The sequence below is a fragment of the Homo sapiens genome, chromosome 2 (assembly GCF_000001405.40).
Source record: "Homo sapiens chromosome 2, GRCh38.p14 Primary Assembly".
NCBI lineage: Eukaryota > Metazoa > Chordata > Mammalia > Primates > Hominidae > Homo > Homo sapiens.
Genome location: NC_000002.12, coordinates 204536926 through 204556709, shown reverse-complemented (window position 1 = coordinate 204556709; position 19784 = coordinate 204536926). Strand labels below are relative to the sequence as shown.

At 41.0% G+C, this 19784-nt stretch overlaps 1 protein-coding gene across 5 annotated transcripts in view, besides 2 other annotated features; it reads right to left on the bottom strand.

The window, feature by feature from the left end:
• The window catches only part of PARD3B (par-3 family cell polarity regulator beta), a 1074688-nt gene extending 1063453 nt beyond the window's left edge, over window positions 1-11235 (bottom strand). For all 5 annotated transcript variants that reach the window (XM_047443208.1, NM_001302769.2, NM_205863.4 and 2 more), the window contains exon 1: window positions 10591-11235. Coding sequence is in view for 4 of the 5 variants with exons in the window: in NM_001302769.2 (NP_001289698.1) it covers window positions 10591-10710 (120 nt within the window). In the remaining variant the exon portion in view is untranslated. The remainder of the gene's footprint in view (window positions 1-10590) is intronic.
• Window positions 11199-11248: a silencer, noted in NCBI's record as "silent region_12260". NCBI's record gives its function as "represses an Ori minimal core promoter by ATAC-STARR-seq in GM12878 lymphoblastoid cells {active_cell/tissue: GM12878}" and the evidence as "EXISTENCE:reporter gene assay evidence [ECO:0000049][PMID:35858748]".
• Window positions 17497-17697: a silencer, noted in NCBI's record as "peak4022 fragment used in MPRA reporter construct". NCBI's record gives its function as "represses an SCP1 promoter by STARR-seq MPRAs in K562 erythroleukemia cells {active_cell/tissue: K562}" and the evidence as "EXISTENCE:reporter gene assay evidence [ECO:0000049][PMID:32103011]".

Genomic DNA, 19784 nt, shown 5'->3' with positions numbered 1-19784 from the left:
AGCTACATTAAGACAGCATGAAAATCCCTTAGGGCAGCACCCAAGGACCATCAGCATCTGGTCCAAATTAGTGTGTGCACCCACTCCTCTCCAGGCTACGCTCAACTTTTCACAACTCCCTCAACCACTTTTTTCCCTCCACCTAGAATGTCTTATCTCACTTTTCTCGTGGAAAATTCTTCATCATCTTTCAAAACGGCTTTAGTGTCTTCTCTTTCAAAGGGCATTATTTGTCTATATTGTATCCCTGCAAACATACCACTAAAGCAAAACTGGCTTATTCACGTGTGTGCCTTATCATCCAGGAGGCCATGAAACTCATCAAAACCCGAGAGTGGCTGCTTTATCTTCACAGCTAGTAGAGCCATTCTAGCTGAGGCACTAGACATGTGAGTGAAGATGCCATCTTGAGCATCCCAGACCTAGAAAACATCACACAGAGACTTCCCCCATGTGCTTGGTCCAAATTCCTGACCTACACAATCATGTTGTTGAGTGGTATTTTCAGCTACTACATTTTGGTGATAGTTTGTAATACAACAAGAGATAGCTGCAACAGGTGGTGATGGATGCATGGTAAAATAATTATTTCTTTGAAAAGAACTTACTGATGCCCTACTATGACCTGGTGCTCTTCTAGAATCTAAGGGTTCAGAAATGAACAAAAGAGACAAATATCTCTACCTTTATTGAAGTTAATATTCTAGTGATGGAGACAAGAAATACAGTTAAAATAAGTGGTATGGTAGGAAGAATATGGTCTGTAGATAGAAGTAAATCAGGGAAGGGCAATAGAAAGGGTTCTCAGAAGGTTATAATCATAAATAGGGTGGTTAGGAAGGCTTCCTGAAGAAGAAAACAATTATTTAAGATGGAAACTATGAAAGAAGCAGATAGGTGGATAACTGAGAGAAAATATTTTAGGAAGAGAGAAAACGGCACTAGGTAAGAGTCTGTCTGGCATGCTTGAATAACATGACAAGCGATCAGTGTGACTGAGACAGGAGAACAGACAGCTGTGTGGTAGATGATGAGGTCAGAGAGGTCAAATATAGGGTGCTGGAGTCCTCAAGACCTTCCAGGTTCGATGATTCACCAAGAGATCTCAAGGAACTCAGCATATACTCATACTCATGGATATAAATTTTTTTTAAGACGGCATCTTGCTCTGTTGCCCAGGCTGGAGTGCAGTGATGCACTCTCAGCTCACTGCAATCTCCACCTCCCAGGTTCATGCAATTCTCCTGCCTCGGCCTCTCAAGTAGCTGGGATTACAGGTGTGTGCCACCACGTCTGGCTAATTTTTGTATTTTTAGTAGAGACGGGGTTTCACCATGTTGCCCAGGCTGGTCTTGAACTCCTGAGCTCAGGTGATTCGCCCACCTCAGCCCCCAAAGTGCTAGGATTACAGGTGTGAGCCACCGTACCAGGCCCTTCATGGATATAATTTATTAGTGAAAAGATACAAAGCCAAATCAGCAAAACAAACTGGCATTCAGAGCGAAGTCTGCAGGAAACCAGGCACAAGCTTCCAAGGGTCTTCCCTTAGTGGAGAGGACTTGCTTAATTCCCCCAGCAGTGAGTTCTTACCACATGTGCGAAATGTTGCCTACCAGGAACACTCATTAGTGACTAAGCACCCAAGGTTTTTACTGCAGACTGATCACATAGGCACCTTCTGCTTAGCATATACAAAAATTCCAGACTCCCAGAAAAAGAGCAGGTGTTCAGCATAAGCCATATTGTTTGCAGAAACAGTTTTGCACAGTGAGCCATTCCGATAAGGGAATGATGGTAGCCCTCCACAAATCTAACTTTCCAGATGCCACCAGCCAAGGCCCCGCTTCGCAAGCAGGGCTTTCTAAGGATAGCAGTCTCAGGCCTGCTACATTAACTTTTTCTGCACAGATAGTCAGATCATGTAGCACTTCCAAGGCCATTTAGGAGAGATGTGCACCATTGGAAGATCTTCAGTAGAAGAATGACATGACCTGATTATAATTTTAAATTATCACTCTAGCTTTTGTGTTAAGGAGAGACAGTAATGTGGGAGTCTCGGGGGCAGAAATGGAGACACTAAAGTCTATTTAAAGAAAAAAATAATAAAAATCAAGCTCCAGTATACTAACAGGAAAGAGACTGAAAAGTAGTCAGATTCCAAATCTAGTATGAGAGCAGAGTCAACCAGATTTGCAGAATGACTGTATGTGGATCATGAGAGAAAAACATTGGTCAAGGGTGATGACAAGCATTTCTGGTGAACAGCTAGAAAGATGGCCTTGCCATTTAATGACATGCTTAGATTGTAGGAGGACTTGATTTGGAGTTGGGGATTAGGAATTCATTTGGGGGCATGCTATAAGTGTAAGATGCCTACCAGATGTCCAGGCAAAGGGTCAAGAAAGCCGTATATAGAGCTGGCAGTTCAGGGAAGACACCTGGGCTGGAACTACCCCAGTGGTATTTGGAACCACATTACTGTAAGCAGAGAGAGACAGGTGGAGACTTAAGAATTGAGTCCTGGGGTACTGTAGTGCTAAGACGTAGAGGAGGAAAGAAGGAACAACCAAAGAGCCTGAGAATGGACAATAGATAGGAAAAAAGTCAGGAGAGTGTAGGTTCCAGGAAGCATGTGCTTAAGATGTTTAGTATTTTTAAAATTTTTTTATTTCCATAAATTATTGGGGAACAGGTGGTGATTCATTACATGACTAAGTTCTTTAGTGGTGATTTGTGAGATTTTGGTGCATCCATCACCTGAGCAGTATGCACGGCACCCAGTTTGTGGTCTTTTATCCCTCATGCCCTTCCCACCCTTTCTCCCTGAGTCCCTGAAGTCCTTTGTGTCAGTGAGAACTCCCACTTATGAGTGAGAACATACAATGTTTGGGTTTCCATTCCTGAGTTACTTCACTTGCCGTAATAGTCTCCAATCTCATCCAGGTTGCTGCAAATGCCATTAATTCAGTCTCTCTTTTAATGGCTGAGGTGTATTCCTTTATATATATGTGTGTATATATATATATATATATATATATATATATATATATATATATATGGATATATATAAATATATATCCATATATATGTATATAGCCATATATATACATATATATGTATATAGCCTTATATATACATATATATATATACACACACACACACACACACACACCCCACAGATTCTTTACCCACTCGTTGACTGGTGGGCATTTGGGTTGGTTCCACGCTTTTGCAGTTGCAAAGTGTGCTGCTAAACATGCATGTGCAAGTATCTTTTTCATATAATGACTTATTTTCCTCTAGGTAGATACCCAGTAGTGGGATTGCCGGATCAAATGGTAGTTCTACTTTTAGTTCTTTAAGGAACCTCCACACTATTTTTCATAGTGGTTGTACTAGTTTACATTCCAACCAGAAGTGTTCACTGTTCACCACATCCACACCAACACCTATTTTTTTAAAATTTTTTGATGATGGCCATTCTTGCAGGAGTGAGGTGGTATCACATTGTGATTTTGAGTTGCACTTCCCTGATCATTAGTGATGTTGAGCATTTTTTTCTTGTTTGTTGGCCATTTCTATATCTTCTTTTGAGAATTGTCTATTCATGTCCTTGGCCCTCTTTTTGATGGGATTGTTTGGTTTTTTTCTTGCTAATTTGTTTGAGTTCATTGTAGATTCTGGATATTAGTCCTTTGTCAGATGTATAGATTGCAAAGATTTTCTCCCACTCTGTGGGTTGTCTGTTTACACTGCTGACTGTTCCTTTTGCCATGGAAAAGCTCTCATTTCAAACTATACTATAAGACCATAGTCACCAAACAGCACGGTACTAGTATAAAAATAGGCCCATAGACCATTGGAACAGAAATAGAGAACCCAAAAATAAACCCAAATACTTACAGTCAACTGATTTTCAACAAAGCAAACGAAAACATTAAGTGGGGAAAGGACACCCTATTCAACAAATGGTGCTGCGATAATTGGCAAGCCACATGTAGGAGAATGAAGCTGGATCCTCACCTCTCAACCTTACACAAAAATCAACTCAAAGTGGATCAAGGATTTAAATCTAAGACCTGAAACTACAACATTCTGTAAGATAACATTGGAAAAACCCTTCTAGACATTGGCTTAGGCAAGGATTTCATGACCAAGAACCCAAAAGCAAATGCAATAAAAGCAAAGATAAATAGCTGGGACTTAATTGAACTGAAGGTGTTTAGTATTTCTATCAGTCGAGAAGCATCTAAATCTCACTAAAAATGGCCCAGATTTTTGTTCACTGCTCCTTCTTGGCCCACTCTCCACCCAGTACCAGAGACAGAGGATGTACATCCTCAGCCTGTTGCACCAAAGGTGTAAACTGAGGCCAACCTGGGCTTACTCTCAAACCCAGCTAGTTTTTGTGCTAGTGTCTAGGTGGAGCATTTAAGGTTTAAAGGCTCTCTCTACCACCTGTGGATACCAAAGAGTGGCTGAAGATCCCTTTCTGATGGCAAAGTTCTCAACAGAACTGAGTAGCAATGTCAAGTTAAGGACTGCCTGGGATCTGGTCTTTAAGCCAGTGGTTTCCAAAAGCAGCTGACAGAACCCATCAGAAGAGCATTGGATCTGAACTGTCCACTAAGGCAAGCCATTTGTGGCGATTTACATTTAAATTAAAATTTAAAATTCAGTTCCTCAGTTGCACTAGGCACATTTCAACTACTTAACAACCACATATGTCTAGTGGCTGCCCTCTTGAAAGATGCAGATCTAGAACATCTCTTCATCCCAGAAAGTTCTACTGCACTACACTGCTTTAGATTTTCCAAGAGAGGCCCAAAGCTCTGAATGTTTAACACACTCCTCAGATGTCTTTAACAGTCCACTCATAAAATAGTCTCACAAAAATCTGACAACATTACCATTTGCCCAACTTCTTCAAAGGGAATCTGTAGCACAGAATACCCTGGGAATGAATTCCTGGTTAACTAAGCCACTTGATTAAGCACAGGGCCTCAAGCTACAAATCAGGGCTGTGGCTCCCAATCGCGCACAGGGCAATTAACTCAGCTCAGATAACCAGCCAAACCCGGTTCAGCAAACCCTATGTGCATGGATTATACACAGAGGGTGTGTGGGGATGTGTGTGTGAGAGGGAGAGAAAGAGAAAGAGGAGGGAGGGGAGAGAAGATCCAGGAGCACAAACTCAAATGCCCACCAGCAGGCCAAATAGCAACCATGAATTAAGGCCATAAGTGAGAAAATAAGCACAGAGTAAAAACAGTCAAGCATGATGACAATAACTTATCCTCACTGTTAGGGAAGCAATAATGGAGACTGAAGCATTAATAATTCTTTCTAAAGAGAGCAGAGGTGTCTCAGCTCCAACTGATGGTTGCTATGTGGGAAAGTAAAGCCCAGCATTGTCAGAGCTTCCAATTTGCTTTTCCCCCAAAGAAGATAGGAATCTGGAGTTTTGCATGAAATCTCAAAATATTTAAATGCTGACAACTAAGTCAAAATATAACACTGAGCAGACCTACAAAAATATGTCTGTGGGTCACAGCAGGCCCCACGAGCCCTCTGTTTGCAAACTTAGAAGCTGCTCAATGCAAGCTGAGTAGCAGAACCAAAACCAAGTTGGAAGCATGTGTAATGCTGATGGCGAGTCAGTTCTGTCCACATGCTGTAAAGAAGTGAGGTCTGAATAGGAAATAAAGCACTCAAGTAAGTCAGTGCCCAATCAATTGAAAAGCATTTGAGGAATCCAGTCTGGGCCTAGCTTATGTATACAAGAACCTTAAAATCTATTTAGGTAACAAGGCATCAAAGCCTGAAAAGTTTAGAAATTCAAGAGTTCTAGCCTATTCCTCCAGGCTACTCCCACACATTATCATACCAGATTCTTCTAACTACACAAATTCTCTTAGATTCCGATCCCACAGTTAATCAGGGAATGGAATTGTTAGTCTAATCAGACTACTCCCAGTTCTGGGAAGCTGCCTCAACTTGTAAAACAAACATATTATTCAAAATATCTGAATACAGAAAAGATTCATCTTGAAAACCCTATCAAATATAATTTTTCCTTTCCAAAAAAGGGTGTACTCACATACGCAGTCAGAGCCACAAATTGGCCTTTGTAAATTCCAGCATGCCTGCTATTCCACGAATTCAATGCTCTTATTTCTCATTCATTCCAACCCCAGAACACACTATACATCCTCATTACTAGACAAGCCTTTCCCTTATTCACTTCATCCTCAGTGAATACACACACACACACACACACACACACACACACACACAGTCAGCCCTCCGCATCCATGCATTCCGCATCTGCGGATTCAACCAAACCCCAGATCAAAAATATTTAGAAAAAAAACTACGTGTACTGAACACACACACACAATTTTCTTGTCACTATTCCCTAAACAGTATAGTATAACAACTGTTTAAATAGCTTTTACATTGTATTAGGTATTATAAATAATCTAGAGATGACTTAAAGTATACAGGAGGATGTGTGTAGATTACATGCAAACACTGCAGCATTTTATATCAGGAACTTGAGCATCTGCAGATTTTGGTATCCGAGGGAAGTCCTGGAATCAATCCCCTATGGATACTAAGGGACAACTGTCTATATAAAATGAATGTTCACTTTAAGCAATTATTTGAGCACCTTCTATAGGAAGAATTCTTTAAGGGTAGGAGTAGGAGTATTCCTAATGGCACTAAAAGGTCAATAAATACTCTAACAAATTCCATGCTTTTATTTGTTTGTTTTTTTTTAATGAGAAAAGGCCAGAAATGTCAAAATTCATTTTGAAAAACAATGTGTAATAAATTCACTTTCTGTAAATCAGTGAAAGACACTTAAAAGGTTTGAATCCCTAGACAGCAAGGTTTTAAGCCCTGCACTTCATAATAATAATCCCATTAACAAATAACATGTATTGTGCTTATTCTGTTGCTTAATAACAGATTGGTGTGTAGATATCTAAGACACAGTATCTGCCATCAAAAGAGTTTAAAATCCAATGAGTTCAGCCATACGAAAAGATTAGAGTAGATTAGTGATTCTCAACCTTGGCTGGGCATTAGAATCACCTGGAGTGCTTTTTAAAATACCTATGCCCAGGACCCACTCCTAACCCAATGAATGAGAATCTTGGGGGAAGGGACACAGGTATTTGTAATGTTTAAAATGTTTAATGTGAAAATTAGAGGTTACTGAAGTTCAGCCAGGGTTGAGAGTCCCTGCAGGATACAGCTCAATTACCCATTCACCTGTGACACATAATTTTGATGATAAATTTAACTAATTACTCAACGATCCCCACCATAAGCACATAAGAAGACAATCACTTCTCCACTAACAACTTCACTAAATTGGATTTGGAGGCTGGGACACTGATAAAGTGTCAGGATTCGGAGATAAGCAATCCCACAGTTCTCACCTCTCAGTCCACCACGTTTCCAATGGAGTTCATCAAATGGTGGCAGGAACCTCAAAGGCCCAGACTTCAGAGCATAATTAAAGCCTTCCCAAAAGCTCCCCCTGTATCTTCAGGATCGCATCAACCTCTGGCCTTATCTGATGTTGATTCAGGGGGTTCCCAACATTCCACAAATAGGTTTTCTTTGTTCTCAACAGGTAGTGGTTACTTCTCAGACGCTGTCCACGAAATATAGAATGGCATTCTTGGACTTCACTTACTTTCCAAACTTTAGAAACCTCAACTTCATCCTCAATCTTGAAACCTGTCTTTCTCCCATCTACATTACTCAGTGCCTCAGAAAATAATGGACTTACTTTACATTCATGTTCCCACCAAATTTGGTTCTTTATAGCACTCGCCACCTGGATGTCTAAGATCTTGCCCATTTTCCCATTTGTAGTTAGACTGAGGAATATTTTTCATAGTTGATTTGCAAATCCTACAATATTTGCCTCAGAAACTAGATTTTCTACATGTAGACCTCATAAAATATATAATTAAGAGAAACTTGTGGATATCCCATCACTATTCCAGAAGCAAAATTGCTATTTTTAGGTTGATGTGATATAGCAGTTAGTAGATGGAAATGTCTTTTTAAATCAAGCATTAAAAAACAAACAATATGGATAAATTCCAATTCATAACAACATACATAGTACTAGGCTATGCAGTTAATGGCTGAGAGCAAACATCTAAAGACACAGTTCCTGGTTTCTAAACCCAAATCTACGACTTACTTGTCATGTCTCTGTGTCTCTTTTTCCCCTGATTTGTAAAATGGGGATAATAATAGTACCTATCTCCTAAGGTTGTTGGGAGAAATAAGTCATAAGCATGAAGTTCCTAAAACAGGGCCTGCACAGAATAAGCACAATACATGTTACATGTTAGTGTGATTATTATTACGAAGTGCAGAAATTCACTGATTTACAGAAAGTGAATTTACTACACATTGTTTTTCAAATTGAATTTTGACATTTCTGGCCTTTTCTCATTTAAAAAAAATGAATAAAAGCATGGAATTTGTTAGGGTATTTATTGACCTTTTAGTGCCATTATGAATACGATTTAATATTCGTTAAATCTTGTTATGATTACAATATTATTTAAAATAAAACTATGGGAGAAGAATACTTGGGGAGGGGAAAAATCATCACCTACTACTTCTTAAAATGAAATTTTAAAAGTGAAAATAAGAGGAAGGATTTATATGCTGCAGGTGACCTTTAAATGTCACATTCACTAATATATAAATGTAAACAGAAAAATATAAGTCTGGTAATAATAGTAAACTGATCAATGCAACTACATTGTTCTGTGATATTATAAGTTACGTTTCCATTCCAGAATGTCAATATTTTAACACCTTTTAAGATCAAATTATAGTGAATTAAATATCAGCTGGTTAGTTCTCTTCATGTTATTTACAAGCTTGTAGTTTATCTCTTACTTGGATAGCCCCCTGTACTAAACTTCTAAATATACAAGATTTGAGGGCATAAATTATTTAATAGTTAAAAAGTAACTTCAATTTGGTAAGACAATCCCTCAATGAGATCTATTTCAATAATCTGTCTGGAGTAATGTTGTTACTATTAATCTTAGCTCACTTTCAAAAGTTAGTGAAATATGATTTAATAGACAATTGGTTACTTGTTTAAACATCAGTTAACTGAATTACATGATTTAAACAGCAAACACTATTTTAACAATGGCAAACACATATGCACGTGCACACACACACATAACATTGCAGTTGATTTTCACACAGCTTTATAAACCACTTTAATTTTTTCCCTCCTCCACCTCAATTCCATCAGTAAAGAGTTCATCTTTAGGGGTTATATTTAATATATTAATAGACCTTTCATTGTACTCTCCTCCAGTTCTTGAGTATCCAAAGCAATATGCACATGTATCTGTCCAGAGCTGAATTTTTTTTCTGTATAATAATTCTTCATGGAGGCAAAGAAGGTGCAAGTATTTTCTTAAACCCCTAAGCTATACACTTGTAAGAAACAATTACTTTTATGCTTTGGATAACCGATAAGAAGTTAAAAGAAATTAAAACTTACGTTTTTCCATCACTAGATTGACCAACCCACTATTTTAGTCACATGGCACGAGACCAAATATTAAGAGAACCATTGGCCGCTAAAACAAGAATTTGTGACTTGCCCTGTTTGAGGAGCATTTGGGACATACAAAATGTTCCATGTGAAGATTCAAAAAATTAAAAGGTTATTCAATGCCTTCCTTTAAAAGTTTCACTGAGGAAGTCCCAGAGGCCCAATGTTACCCAAATACTTGGCATAAGTTCTAGTGCCAGATATTTTCTCAACATGTATTGCACACTTAAAAAAAATTGTCACTTAATTTATACTTGTTCCTGACTTCAGCTACAGAGCTAGGAACGTCTTTCTCATTTTAATAGTCACTCAGGACCTGACAACAGCCCACACACATAGTAAATGGTCATAGAATCTGTGACATTAAACTGAAAACACTCAAAATGTAGACAGGTTGGCTAAGCAAACAGCATGCTCCCACCTGTGTTCCTGCCCAAGTCACTGAGACAGGGCAGCTCACAAGGCTGAAACTCCAAAGGCCCCATCAGTTGTAACTTCCGAGTATGTGTCACTTGCACAATCAACTTTCTAACTCCAAGGAGCCTAAGTGAGGCGGGCCTTAATGGGTCAAAAATCACACTTAGGTGAGCAGCACCTTTTAAGACGTTCCCTCAAACAAGTTCTAAACCAGTGGTTCTCAAACTTCAGTGGGCATTCCAATCACCTGGGGATCTCGTTAAAGAGCAGATCCTGAGTCGGTGGGTTTGGAGAACTGCCCATATTGGGCAGTTCTAAGAAGCTCCCAAGAGATTCCAATGCTGCAGGTCCACTCACGACCCTCGGAGCTCAAGGCCCACAAACACCCAAAGACACCCACATCACTGATATTAGCAATAGACAACAGCTGCAGCTACAGGCAGTGCCCCATAATCCCCTGGGTTTTCTGCATCCCCTGAGTGTCGCCACCGGGTCGCACCTGGCAGGTGCCTTGGCTGCAGCCGCGCCCCACTCCTCCGCGCCGCGCTCACCTTCTCCCGGGTCTTCAGGTACCGCTGCAGCGCCTGCTGGGTGAGCTCGCCGACGCGCAGCTGGCCCTCCTTGCAGGGCACCACGATGCCCGTCCTGCCGAAGCACACGGTCACTTTCATCCTGGCCCCCGGCGACCACGCCGGGCCGGGCCGAACAGGTGTCTGACCCCGCGGGCGCAGCCCCCACTCTCGGAGGACGCCCGGGGCGGGTGGGCCCAGAGACCCGGGGCGCCGCTCCCCGGAACACCCTGAGGCCCGGAGGCTCGCGGCAGCGCCCCTTCCACCTGGCCAGGCGGCAGGTGGCGGGAATCGGGGAGGGGCGGCCGCGGAAAGGGGTTACCTCCCAGGTGCCCGGCGGCCCGGGACGCGGCAGCTCCGCGGCACCGGCTCCTCCTCCTCCTCCTCCCGCTCCTACTCCTGCCCGGCCCAGGCGGCTGCTCCGCGCCCACCAAAGCGAAACTGCCGGCCCTGCCCTGTCGCTGGTCCTGGCCCTGGCCCTGGCCCTGGCGGCGTTGGCAGGGCCGGCCCCAAGCCGGGGGCTGGAGTGGGCGGCGGCGGCGGCGGCGCACGGGGCCAGAGTTGGGAGGAAACTTTTGCGCCGGCTCCCAACTCCTCTGCGGCGCCCGCGCTCTGGGCTCCTGCGGTCCCGGCGACGGCCTGGGCCCGGCTCTTAAAGGGGCCGCGGCGCTCCCGGGCCCCGCCGCACGCTGGGCGACGACGTGCCCCGGCCCTGCGGGCCAGTAACTGGAGCCCGGGAGCCTCGTCTCGTCACCTGGGTCTCTCCCTGGCTCTCTCCCTCTCGCACGCATGCACACGGAGCTCTGGGGAGTTGTAAGGGGACCTGAGGGCTACACGCTCGAGGATTGAAACCGGATCTCAGAAAGAACACCCGAGGGAAGAGCGAGGAGACTGCAGAGCTGCGCCCTTCACAGGAGGGGACTGCAGCAAGATGCAAAAGGAGCCCAGGAGCAGGTGCTTCTAGTCACGCCCACCAAAAACACCCAAGGGGCGAGGCTGCCGGGTGCGGAGATGCAGGAGTGCCCCGAGGGCCTGTTAGGAACTCGCCTTAAGCACAGCCCGTGCCGCTGCCATCAGGAGCCCTGGGATAGCAGAGCTGAAGCGAACCTTGGAGAGAACGCGCCAGTGGAAACTTTTCCTTTTACAGACCCTCGAGGACACTGAGTATTTGGCCAAAGGTCACACCCAAGACCCAGATATGATCGCGTGTGTTGACACATAGCCTTCTGGAATGCGACTACCGTTGTGCATTTTATTAGGAAAAAAAAAAGTTAACACCCTTAGGCTCATGATTTGGCAGGTGTGTATCCATCACCAATTGAAATGGGAATATGTGGGGGAAACCAACAAATTACGTTAGTTTCATTCTTAGCTCTCATGTAAATGAGCTCCTTTGAGCTTAACAACTACCCGGTAGGTAGATATTATTCTTCGCATCTTGTGCATCAAGAATGGTGCTCGGAGAGGTCAAGAGACTGAGCAGACCATGGTGTTAGTTCTGTTGAAAAGAACTCAGGTCTTCTGAGCTCAATCTCTGGTCTCTCCCTGCAGTTTTCTTAGCCATCCAGTTCATCCAGCAAGACCCTCAGGGCTGCATCATGTGTTTCTCTACAGAAGGATGTGCTCCTATGTGGACACACTTAAATTGAACGTGAATTGCCTAGGATGGTATGATAATGCAGAGGAGATTAAATTCATGGGTTTCAAGAGGTTTTTTAAAAAAATAAATTTTAGCTCATTCATACATTCAGTAAGTATATATTGGTTGTCTTCTATGTATAGAAAGTCAGTGGCAAACCAAGAGGATCACGTAAACCAAGTCCATTGTAATTTGGTTGTAAATCCAATACAAACTAATTTACATTTAAATAAACCAAAGACAGAATTGATCACCTCATAAAATCAGAAGATCCAGAGGGCACTCCATTGAGGCAAGGTTGAAAGCAGGAACTCAAACTATGTCCTCAGGGGCCAGCTAGCTCTGTCCAGCTCTTAGCTCTATCTGTTCCTCAGTGTGGTCTCCATTCTCAGGCCAGCTCTCTTCAAAGGAGACACTTTATCCTCTTTTTAGAGATGAGGAGCTGAGGCCAAAGGAAGTTAAATGATTTAGTTAAAATCTCATTCTTAGAAAGTAGCAGAGGCTGGCTTAAAACCCAGGTCATCTGATTCCAGAGTCTTCATCGTAACTGCTGTGCTGTTTCTTACATGAGAAGTACCAATGAGTGAATCAAACAAACAAATAGATACTGATGCCGTGCATTAATGTGTGGCCCTCACTTTTAATATTCGGTATTTCATGGACCTATAGAATGGTACAGAGCAAAGATTTTCCACTGATGAAATAACTTTGCATGTTGCCATCCTTCCTGCATCGTGGCTTTTTGCTTTACAGTTGCTCCAGACTCATTTTCTTCTGCTTGGGTCATGAATAGCTCCTCCTCTTCGCCACAAATTCCCTCTTAGCCCAGCTTTAGCTCCTTCCCAATATCTAGAACCTCCCACCCCAAGTCCTGGCTTTGATAATCCCCAAGTGAACCATAAAGAACACTCCGGCTCTCCCAGTTCCACTTGGGAAGTTGGAATCGGGACCTAGGGGATGCAGCAGAGGCCATGCCATTGTGAGATGAAGGAAGAGATGACTCTAGACAAGGATGTGAACAGTGCATTGTGCAATCCTGTACACCATGGGGTGACCTTTTATAGCCCTAAGTTAGTATGAAGAGTTTAGTGTTTACATTTCATGTTTATTAAATAGCCAGGTTTAATTTGTTATTCAGCCTCATCACAGCATATATAGAAACAATTTACCATATATTATCAAGGGATTAAAAAAAAGAACACAATTGCAACACACAGTCATTCATGCCCAGCAAATTCCTAAATCAATATTTCATGCCCCATGGGACCTCCTGGGCAGAAGACAATAAATAATTTGCCTTGATTGAGTAACACTAGATGATGCCAAGCCCGGGTTCCATTTTCTTGTTTTGCCTGCTCGGTAGATAAATATGCCTGTGATGTGATATTTTTCCATTTGTTATCCAACAGCTTAGCAAGTACTGGAGTAGCCAGTAAAGAAGTGTTATACAGAGAAAGAACAATAATCCTGACCAATATTATTAAACCACCCTGCCTAACTAAAATGTCAGGTACTATCAGGTATACATTGAATGAAGAATGATAATATTTAATCTATAGTTGACCAGTAATTGAGTCTCATGTTTTGCACTGTTAAACAAAATATTTTTACCTTTCAAGGAATTATTTATAGCAAGTACTATTTATCACAAAAAAATTGAATCAATTTTACTAATTAAATTAACTTATTTATAAAACCCTTGGAGCATTAGTATAAAAGATCACATTCTTTGCTTCCTTCTGAAAGCAGGTGCAAGAATGATTGCATAAATAATGAAAGAGAAAAATGGGTATTCGTTTTCATTTTTTCCCTTTTATATTTAAAAGCAAATGGTCTGGGTTATTGTTTAACTGGACAAGAATGGATTCTTCTTTAGAGCTGTTTGTCTCTAAATACTGCATGGCATTCATTTGTTGACATTTTTGGTTATTTATTTCTGTAGCTGTCCTGGATGCACAAATAACAATGCTCTTCACCCTAAGGGGAATATTATGGGCCACCGGCTTTTTGGAAGGTCCATTTTTTGCCCATCCTATAAGCAAGACTCACAAGTCTTCACAAATGGTACAGCTATATCACCCCTCCTTATATTGAATTCTACTCTGTAGAAACTAATATTCTCCCTAAGTTTGTTTTCTTGAAAAGGAGCTGAATCATGAAATGAGCATCTCTTAAAAAAAAAAAAAAGTAAAATGAGCAACCAAAAGCAAGGAAACTGTCCTGATGCTGTTATATTAAGTTAATTTTGATTATTAATTAGTTGTTTTCCTCAATGTGTGATCTCCTTCTCTGAAGCTCACTGGGGCCCATTAACGGTAAGCACAGGAATAGGCCCTACTCTGGATAGGACCAAGTCCTTTCACCTCTAGGCATCTGTAGAAGACTGTTAGAAAGAGGGCCAATAGCAGTGGTCATTGGTGCTCTCCAGCAAGCTCAGCTGTCCAAAGATAGCTTTGAGGTAAGGGTGCAACCAAGAGTTCTCTTTTCAATTCTGCTTACTTTACCAAAGGCCACTTTCTGATTCTCATTTATATCCCTTTACTTGGAGAGGAAGTGAACGGGCATCCATGTAATTGACAGAAGGTAGAGAGAGATTTGGGCCTGGACATTTCAGTGTGTAAGTCATGTGTGCGCAGTGATAAGCTAAGTAATCTTAGTCATATGTCACTATCCTTTTTTGTAAAATGGGATGATAACTCTATTTTAAGGTGTAATATACATAAAGCACTCAACACATAGTAGGCAAGATATATTGCCCTCTTTCAACTTTTTTTCCACTTACTAGCATTTCTAAATGTCACTTGTTTTCATTGAGTCTGAAACTACTTGCAAAGTGAAACAATTCAAATGATACGTAGAAACTGCACATCAAGTACACAACTGCTGGAGACAAAGTGTAACTAGCTCTGTAATGAGGGTGCCAGGACCATAGCAAAACTAATGTTAAGATGTGTATTCTAATTCACAATCTACATATTATTTCATTTGATGCTCAAAAAGCAATCCGGAAACATTTAATCTAGTATCTGAGAATCACAGAATTACAGAGCTGAATGGGGCCTTGCAGATTACCTGATACAATATCCTCATTTTGTAGATGAGGAAACTGGATTAGAGAGGTCAAGGAAACTGGTTCAGCCAGAATCAGAACCCAGAACCTCTTGGTCATAGTCCAGTGCTTTCTTCACTTCCCTGTCTGTCTGGTAACAGAATTTATAACATTAGATATTTGACCAACATTAGTTTAAGGCTTTGTGGTTTGTTGTTGTTGTTGAGACAGAGTCTAGCTCTGTTGCACAGGCTGGAGTGCAGTGGTGCAATCTTGGCTCACTGAAGCCTCTGCTTCCTGGGTTCAAGCAATTCTCCTGCCTCAGCCTCCTGAGTAGCTGGAATTACAGATGTGTGCCACCACACCTGGCTAATTTTTGTATTTTTAGTAGAGACGAGTTTTCACCATGTTGGCCAGGCTGGTCTTGAACTCCTAACTTCAAGTGATCTGCCTTTTTTGAGCTCCCAAAGTGCTGGGATTACAGGTGTGAGCTACCGGAGCCAGCCATGGCTCAAGGCTTTGAACTCTCACTGGGCTAGGAAGTGCTGGTATGGTGTTCATTCTTCTACCTATTCCTTCAGTTTCAATTTAAACTTAAGATTCTGAACACTTATTCTCCCCACAATTGTAAATATCAAAAAAGTTTGCTGAGTATTTAAATGACTATTGCAGAAAATTATAAACCACCAAAGGATTTTAAGCAGGACAGTAACATGATCGGATTTGTGTTTGGTGGAATGCAGAGGACCTGAGAGACAGGCAGAAGCCCCATCTTAGTTCATTCAATCCACCATTCATTTTCTAATGCAACAGTAGTTTTTCAACACCTATAACGTAACTGAGCACAAAGTGACTATGAAGCTTAGACCCTAGTGAGGAAGACAGATAATAAATGACTAATCAAATGAACAAAATATTTGCACATTGTTATAAAGTATAATAAAAGGTACAAACAGCAGGGTTCTGTAATAGAGAATAATTGGGTAAGGGAGAACCTATTTATATTGGATTGGTAAGAGAAAAAAAGTTACTTTGGGAAGAACCCAGAGAAAAGGTGAACAGTAAATGCAAATATCTCTGAGATAAGACCAAGAGTGATGTGTTTTAGGAATTAAGAAAAAGCCAGTTTGGTTCCTGGAGCATTAATGAGCCAAAAGACAGGCAGGAAATGAGGTAGAAGAGATTGTCTACAGCAGTGGCCTCCTAGAAGACTAAGGCAATACAGATGATGAAGAGGGGAAGATTGGGGATATCTTTCCGAATTTGTGATAGGTGGAGGATGGTAAGCTTTGGGGAAAAATTAAGAAACATTGTTTTCTAGTTCAGACAACTAGTTAATAAGTGACATAATTGGCCGGGCACAGTGGCTCACACCTGTAATCCTACCACTTTGGGAGGCCGAGGCGGGTGGATCACCTGAAGTCAGGAGTTCAAGACCAGCCTGCCCAACATAGTGAAACCCCGTCTCTACTAAAAATACAAAAATTAGCCAGGCATGGTGGTGTGCACCTGTAATCCCAGCTACTCGGGAGGCTGAGGGAGGAGAATCACTTGAATCCAGGAGGAGGAGGTTGCAGTGAGCCAAGATCGTGCCAGTACACTCCAACCTGGGCGACAAAGTGAGACTCCATCTCAAAAAAAAAAAAAAAAAAAAAGAAGAAGAAGAAGAAGTGACATTATTAGTTAAAGCTAAGGAAGTTGGAAAGTGGGGAGGCCTTTGCAGATGTTAGGGAAAAAAAAGAGTAAGTTCAGTTGGGACATTCTAAGTTTGATGTGCCCGCGAAGCAACCAGGTAAAAATGTTTAGTCGGCTGGAAATACAAGTTTGGAGCTCAGGAGAAAGTCTAAAGACTATATATTGAGATTCAGGGGTCATAGATTGAAGCTCAACTTGTCAGAAGAGAAGAGATCATCCAAAGAAGGAGTTTAAGATGAAAAGGCAATAGGGCTTAGACTAGAATCCTGGAAAATGCCAATATTCAAAAAGAGGGAGATCTGGAGAAGTTACATATGTGTATAATGATGAATTGTTAATGATGATAAGGTATTATTCTTATTCTCTATAAGGTATTATCAATGTCAAAGATGTGATAAGAAAGGGCGCTGCTGCCCTAGTGAAGACACAACAGTAGAAAACAGGAAATTGAATGTTAAGAATGGAAAGCAAGAGTGTCTGACCAGAACAGATAGGTTTCATCAGAGCATAACATAGGATATAAGGCTAGAAAGATTCAGGAAGAGGAAAATGATTCAGGGACAGCTGTGAGAAATAGATTAAGGATTTGGGATCTAAAGCACCAAAGAGATAGCTTCTAGATGCTTGAACAAAGTAGTCATATGCATAAAACAGCATTTGATAGTCATTATTTTGACATCTTTATATATAAAGACTTTGAGTAGGAAGTGATTGAGTTTGGGAAGAATCCAAAAGAAAGATGTTGGAGTAAGTCATATCAGGCTGAATTTAAGTGAAACGTCACATGTGTACATATTTGTAAAATATCTCTGCCTTTACGTATGTTTATCCAGAGTAGTAAACTGTATTATTGCTTAATGTAAAGTCCTTTTAGTCTGCTATTCCATGAATGGAAAGTGGAGAAATGCCGTATGATTCAGGGTCCAGTCAGGCAAACTGAAAACATACCCTGTATCAAACAGAGGGAGTTGAATACGAGAAATTAATTACACTGTTGATGAAAGGGCTGGGAAGCCAAGCAAGACATGGGAAGGCAATTCAGAGATTAGCCACAGCAGGAAGCTGCTTCTTTCTCGAGGGCGAGGGCTGGCTGTATGCAGGGAGGATGCAGAATGTCAGCAGAACCCAGAAGCTGGGCCGCCTGGCAGGAGCTAAAACCAAAGCAAGGACTGAGCTGAGAGCCTGTCCAGAGAAGACCTGCAACTATCAGGAGGAGTTGCAGCCACAGCCAGAAAACACAACCAGGGGAGAGAAGGAGAGAGAAAAGAAGACGAGAGACAAATACCCACCCCCTGGATTCTTTTCTTCCCCCTTCCATGCTTCTACCAGTGTGTAGTGCTAGCAGGACTGGCGGGAAGCCAATTAGCAGGGAGAAGGGCAAGGAAGTGTTTGGGAACAAACCTAATAATTTGCCCAGAAGGTCTTTCCTAGTGGGCTTCTACAACGATTCATAAATAGAGATTTTAAATCTCACTAATATTTTAAATTTAGGAGAAGCACTAACAATGTTTCCAATTCAATCTGGTATATTTGCAAAAATGAATTTTTTTCCCAGACTAAGCTAAATTCATGCTTTTCTCAAGAGAAAGCACTTCTACATTTTAACAGTGAAATATAAGCTCTTCCCTGATTGCCAAAATCACCATTAATTTCCGTCATCATTTAAGAAATAAAAAAATTTCTACTCTTGCTCAGTTATCAACTCAAATTAATAGTTTGGTTTAGCTATGATTGCATAGTACTGTAAGCAGCAAATCCAAAAATCTTATTAATATTAAATGCTGCGGTCAAACTACGTGCTATCTGATAATATTTCATTTATTTTATATGCTATAATTTTAGAATTCATAATGAATTCTAAATGAATTCTAATCCATGAATTCATAATGGAAGATTTGAAAGACTATATGATTTACAGTTATGATTCATTTGTATAAAATTATTTGATACAGCCATTAATGCTTTGCCACATGTATACATGAATAAGTATAATTTTATTTCAATATCAAAAAATGAATTAATCCATATTTTCCTTCAAACGTGTGCACACTTGTTAATATGTATATGTTACGACTTTTTAAATGCTCTTTTATTATATAATCAGAATATAAATAGAATAAAGAAAATAAATAGGTTATATATGGACTTTAACATGTCTCACAAGACTTGAAAAGAGCAATTTCACAGCAAACAAAAATAACTATCCGTTTACCATGTATATAAAACTTCTGGCAAGTGATACCCACAAAATGATGGTATTAACAATGAGTAGCATATGTCGGTCATGCCTCTACCAAATCCAATAAGTTTCATTAAGTTGCAAGTTCCTTACTCAAAGAGGCAGTGCTATATGCTGAAGGACTAGGATAGCTATGGATAAGACTAAGAGTGGTCCCTGACTCAAAGACAGCCATGCATAGGCTAGTCAACCCCTGATATAATCTGATATTAAAAGCAAGTAAAGTCATTGGTGATCAGCTAAGCCACACAGATTGGCTCCTTCTAGTATGTAGGCTACAGAATAGAAGAGGATTGGCTGCTTGGTATTGAAGGAATCAAAAAGCCAAAACCTTGAGATTTCAGTGGCTCGTGAGATAAAAGCACTTTTGGAGCTGCCTCAAGTGTCCATTGACCCCAGTACTAACCTACAAATATTGTCAAAATAACAGTCACCTGCTAACCAATTATTTTTTGTCACATTATTTTGAGTGAGACTGATTCTTAAAACCAAAGCAACTTATTCTAGCAAAGAACAAAAAGAACTTAAAAGTAAATTCAAGAGGAGATAAATTA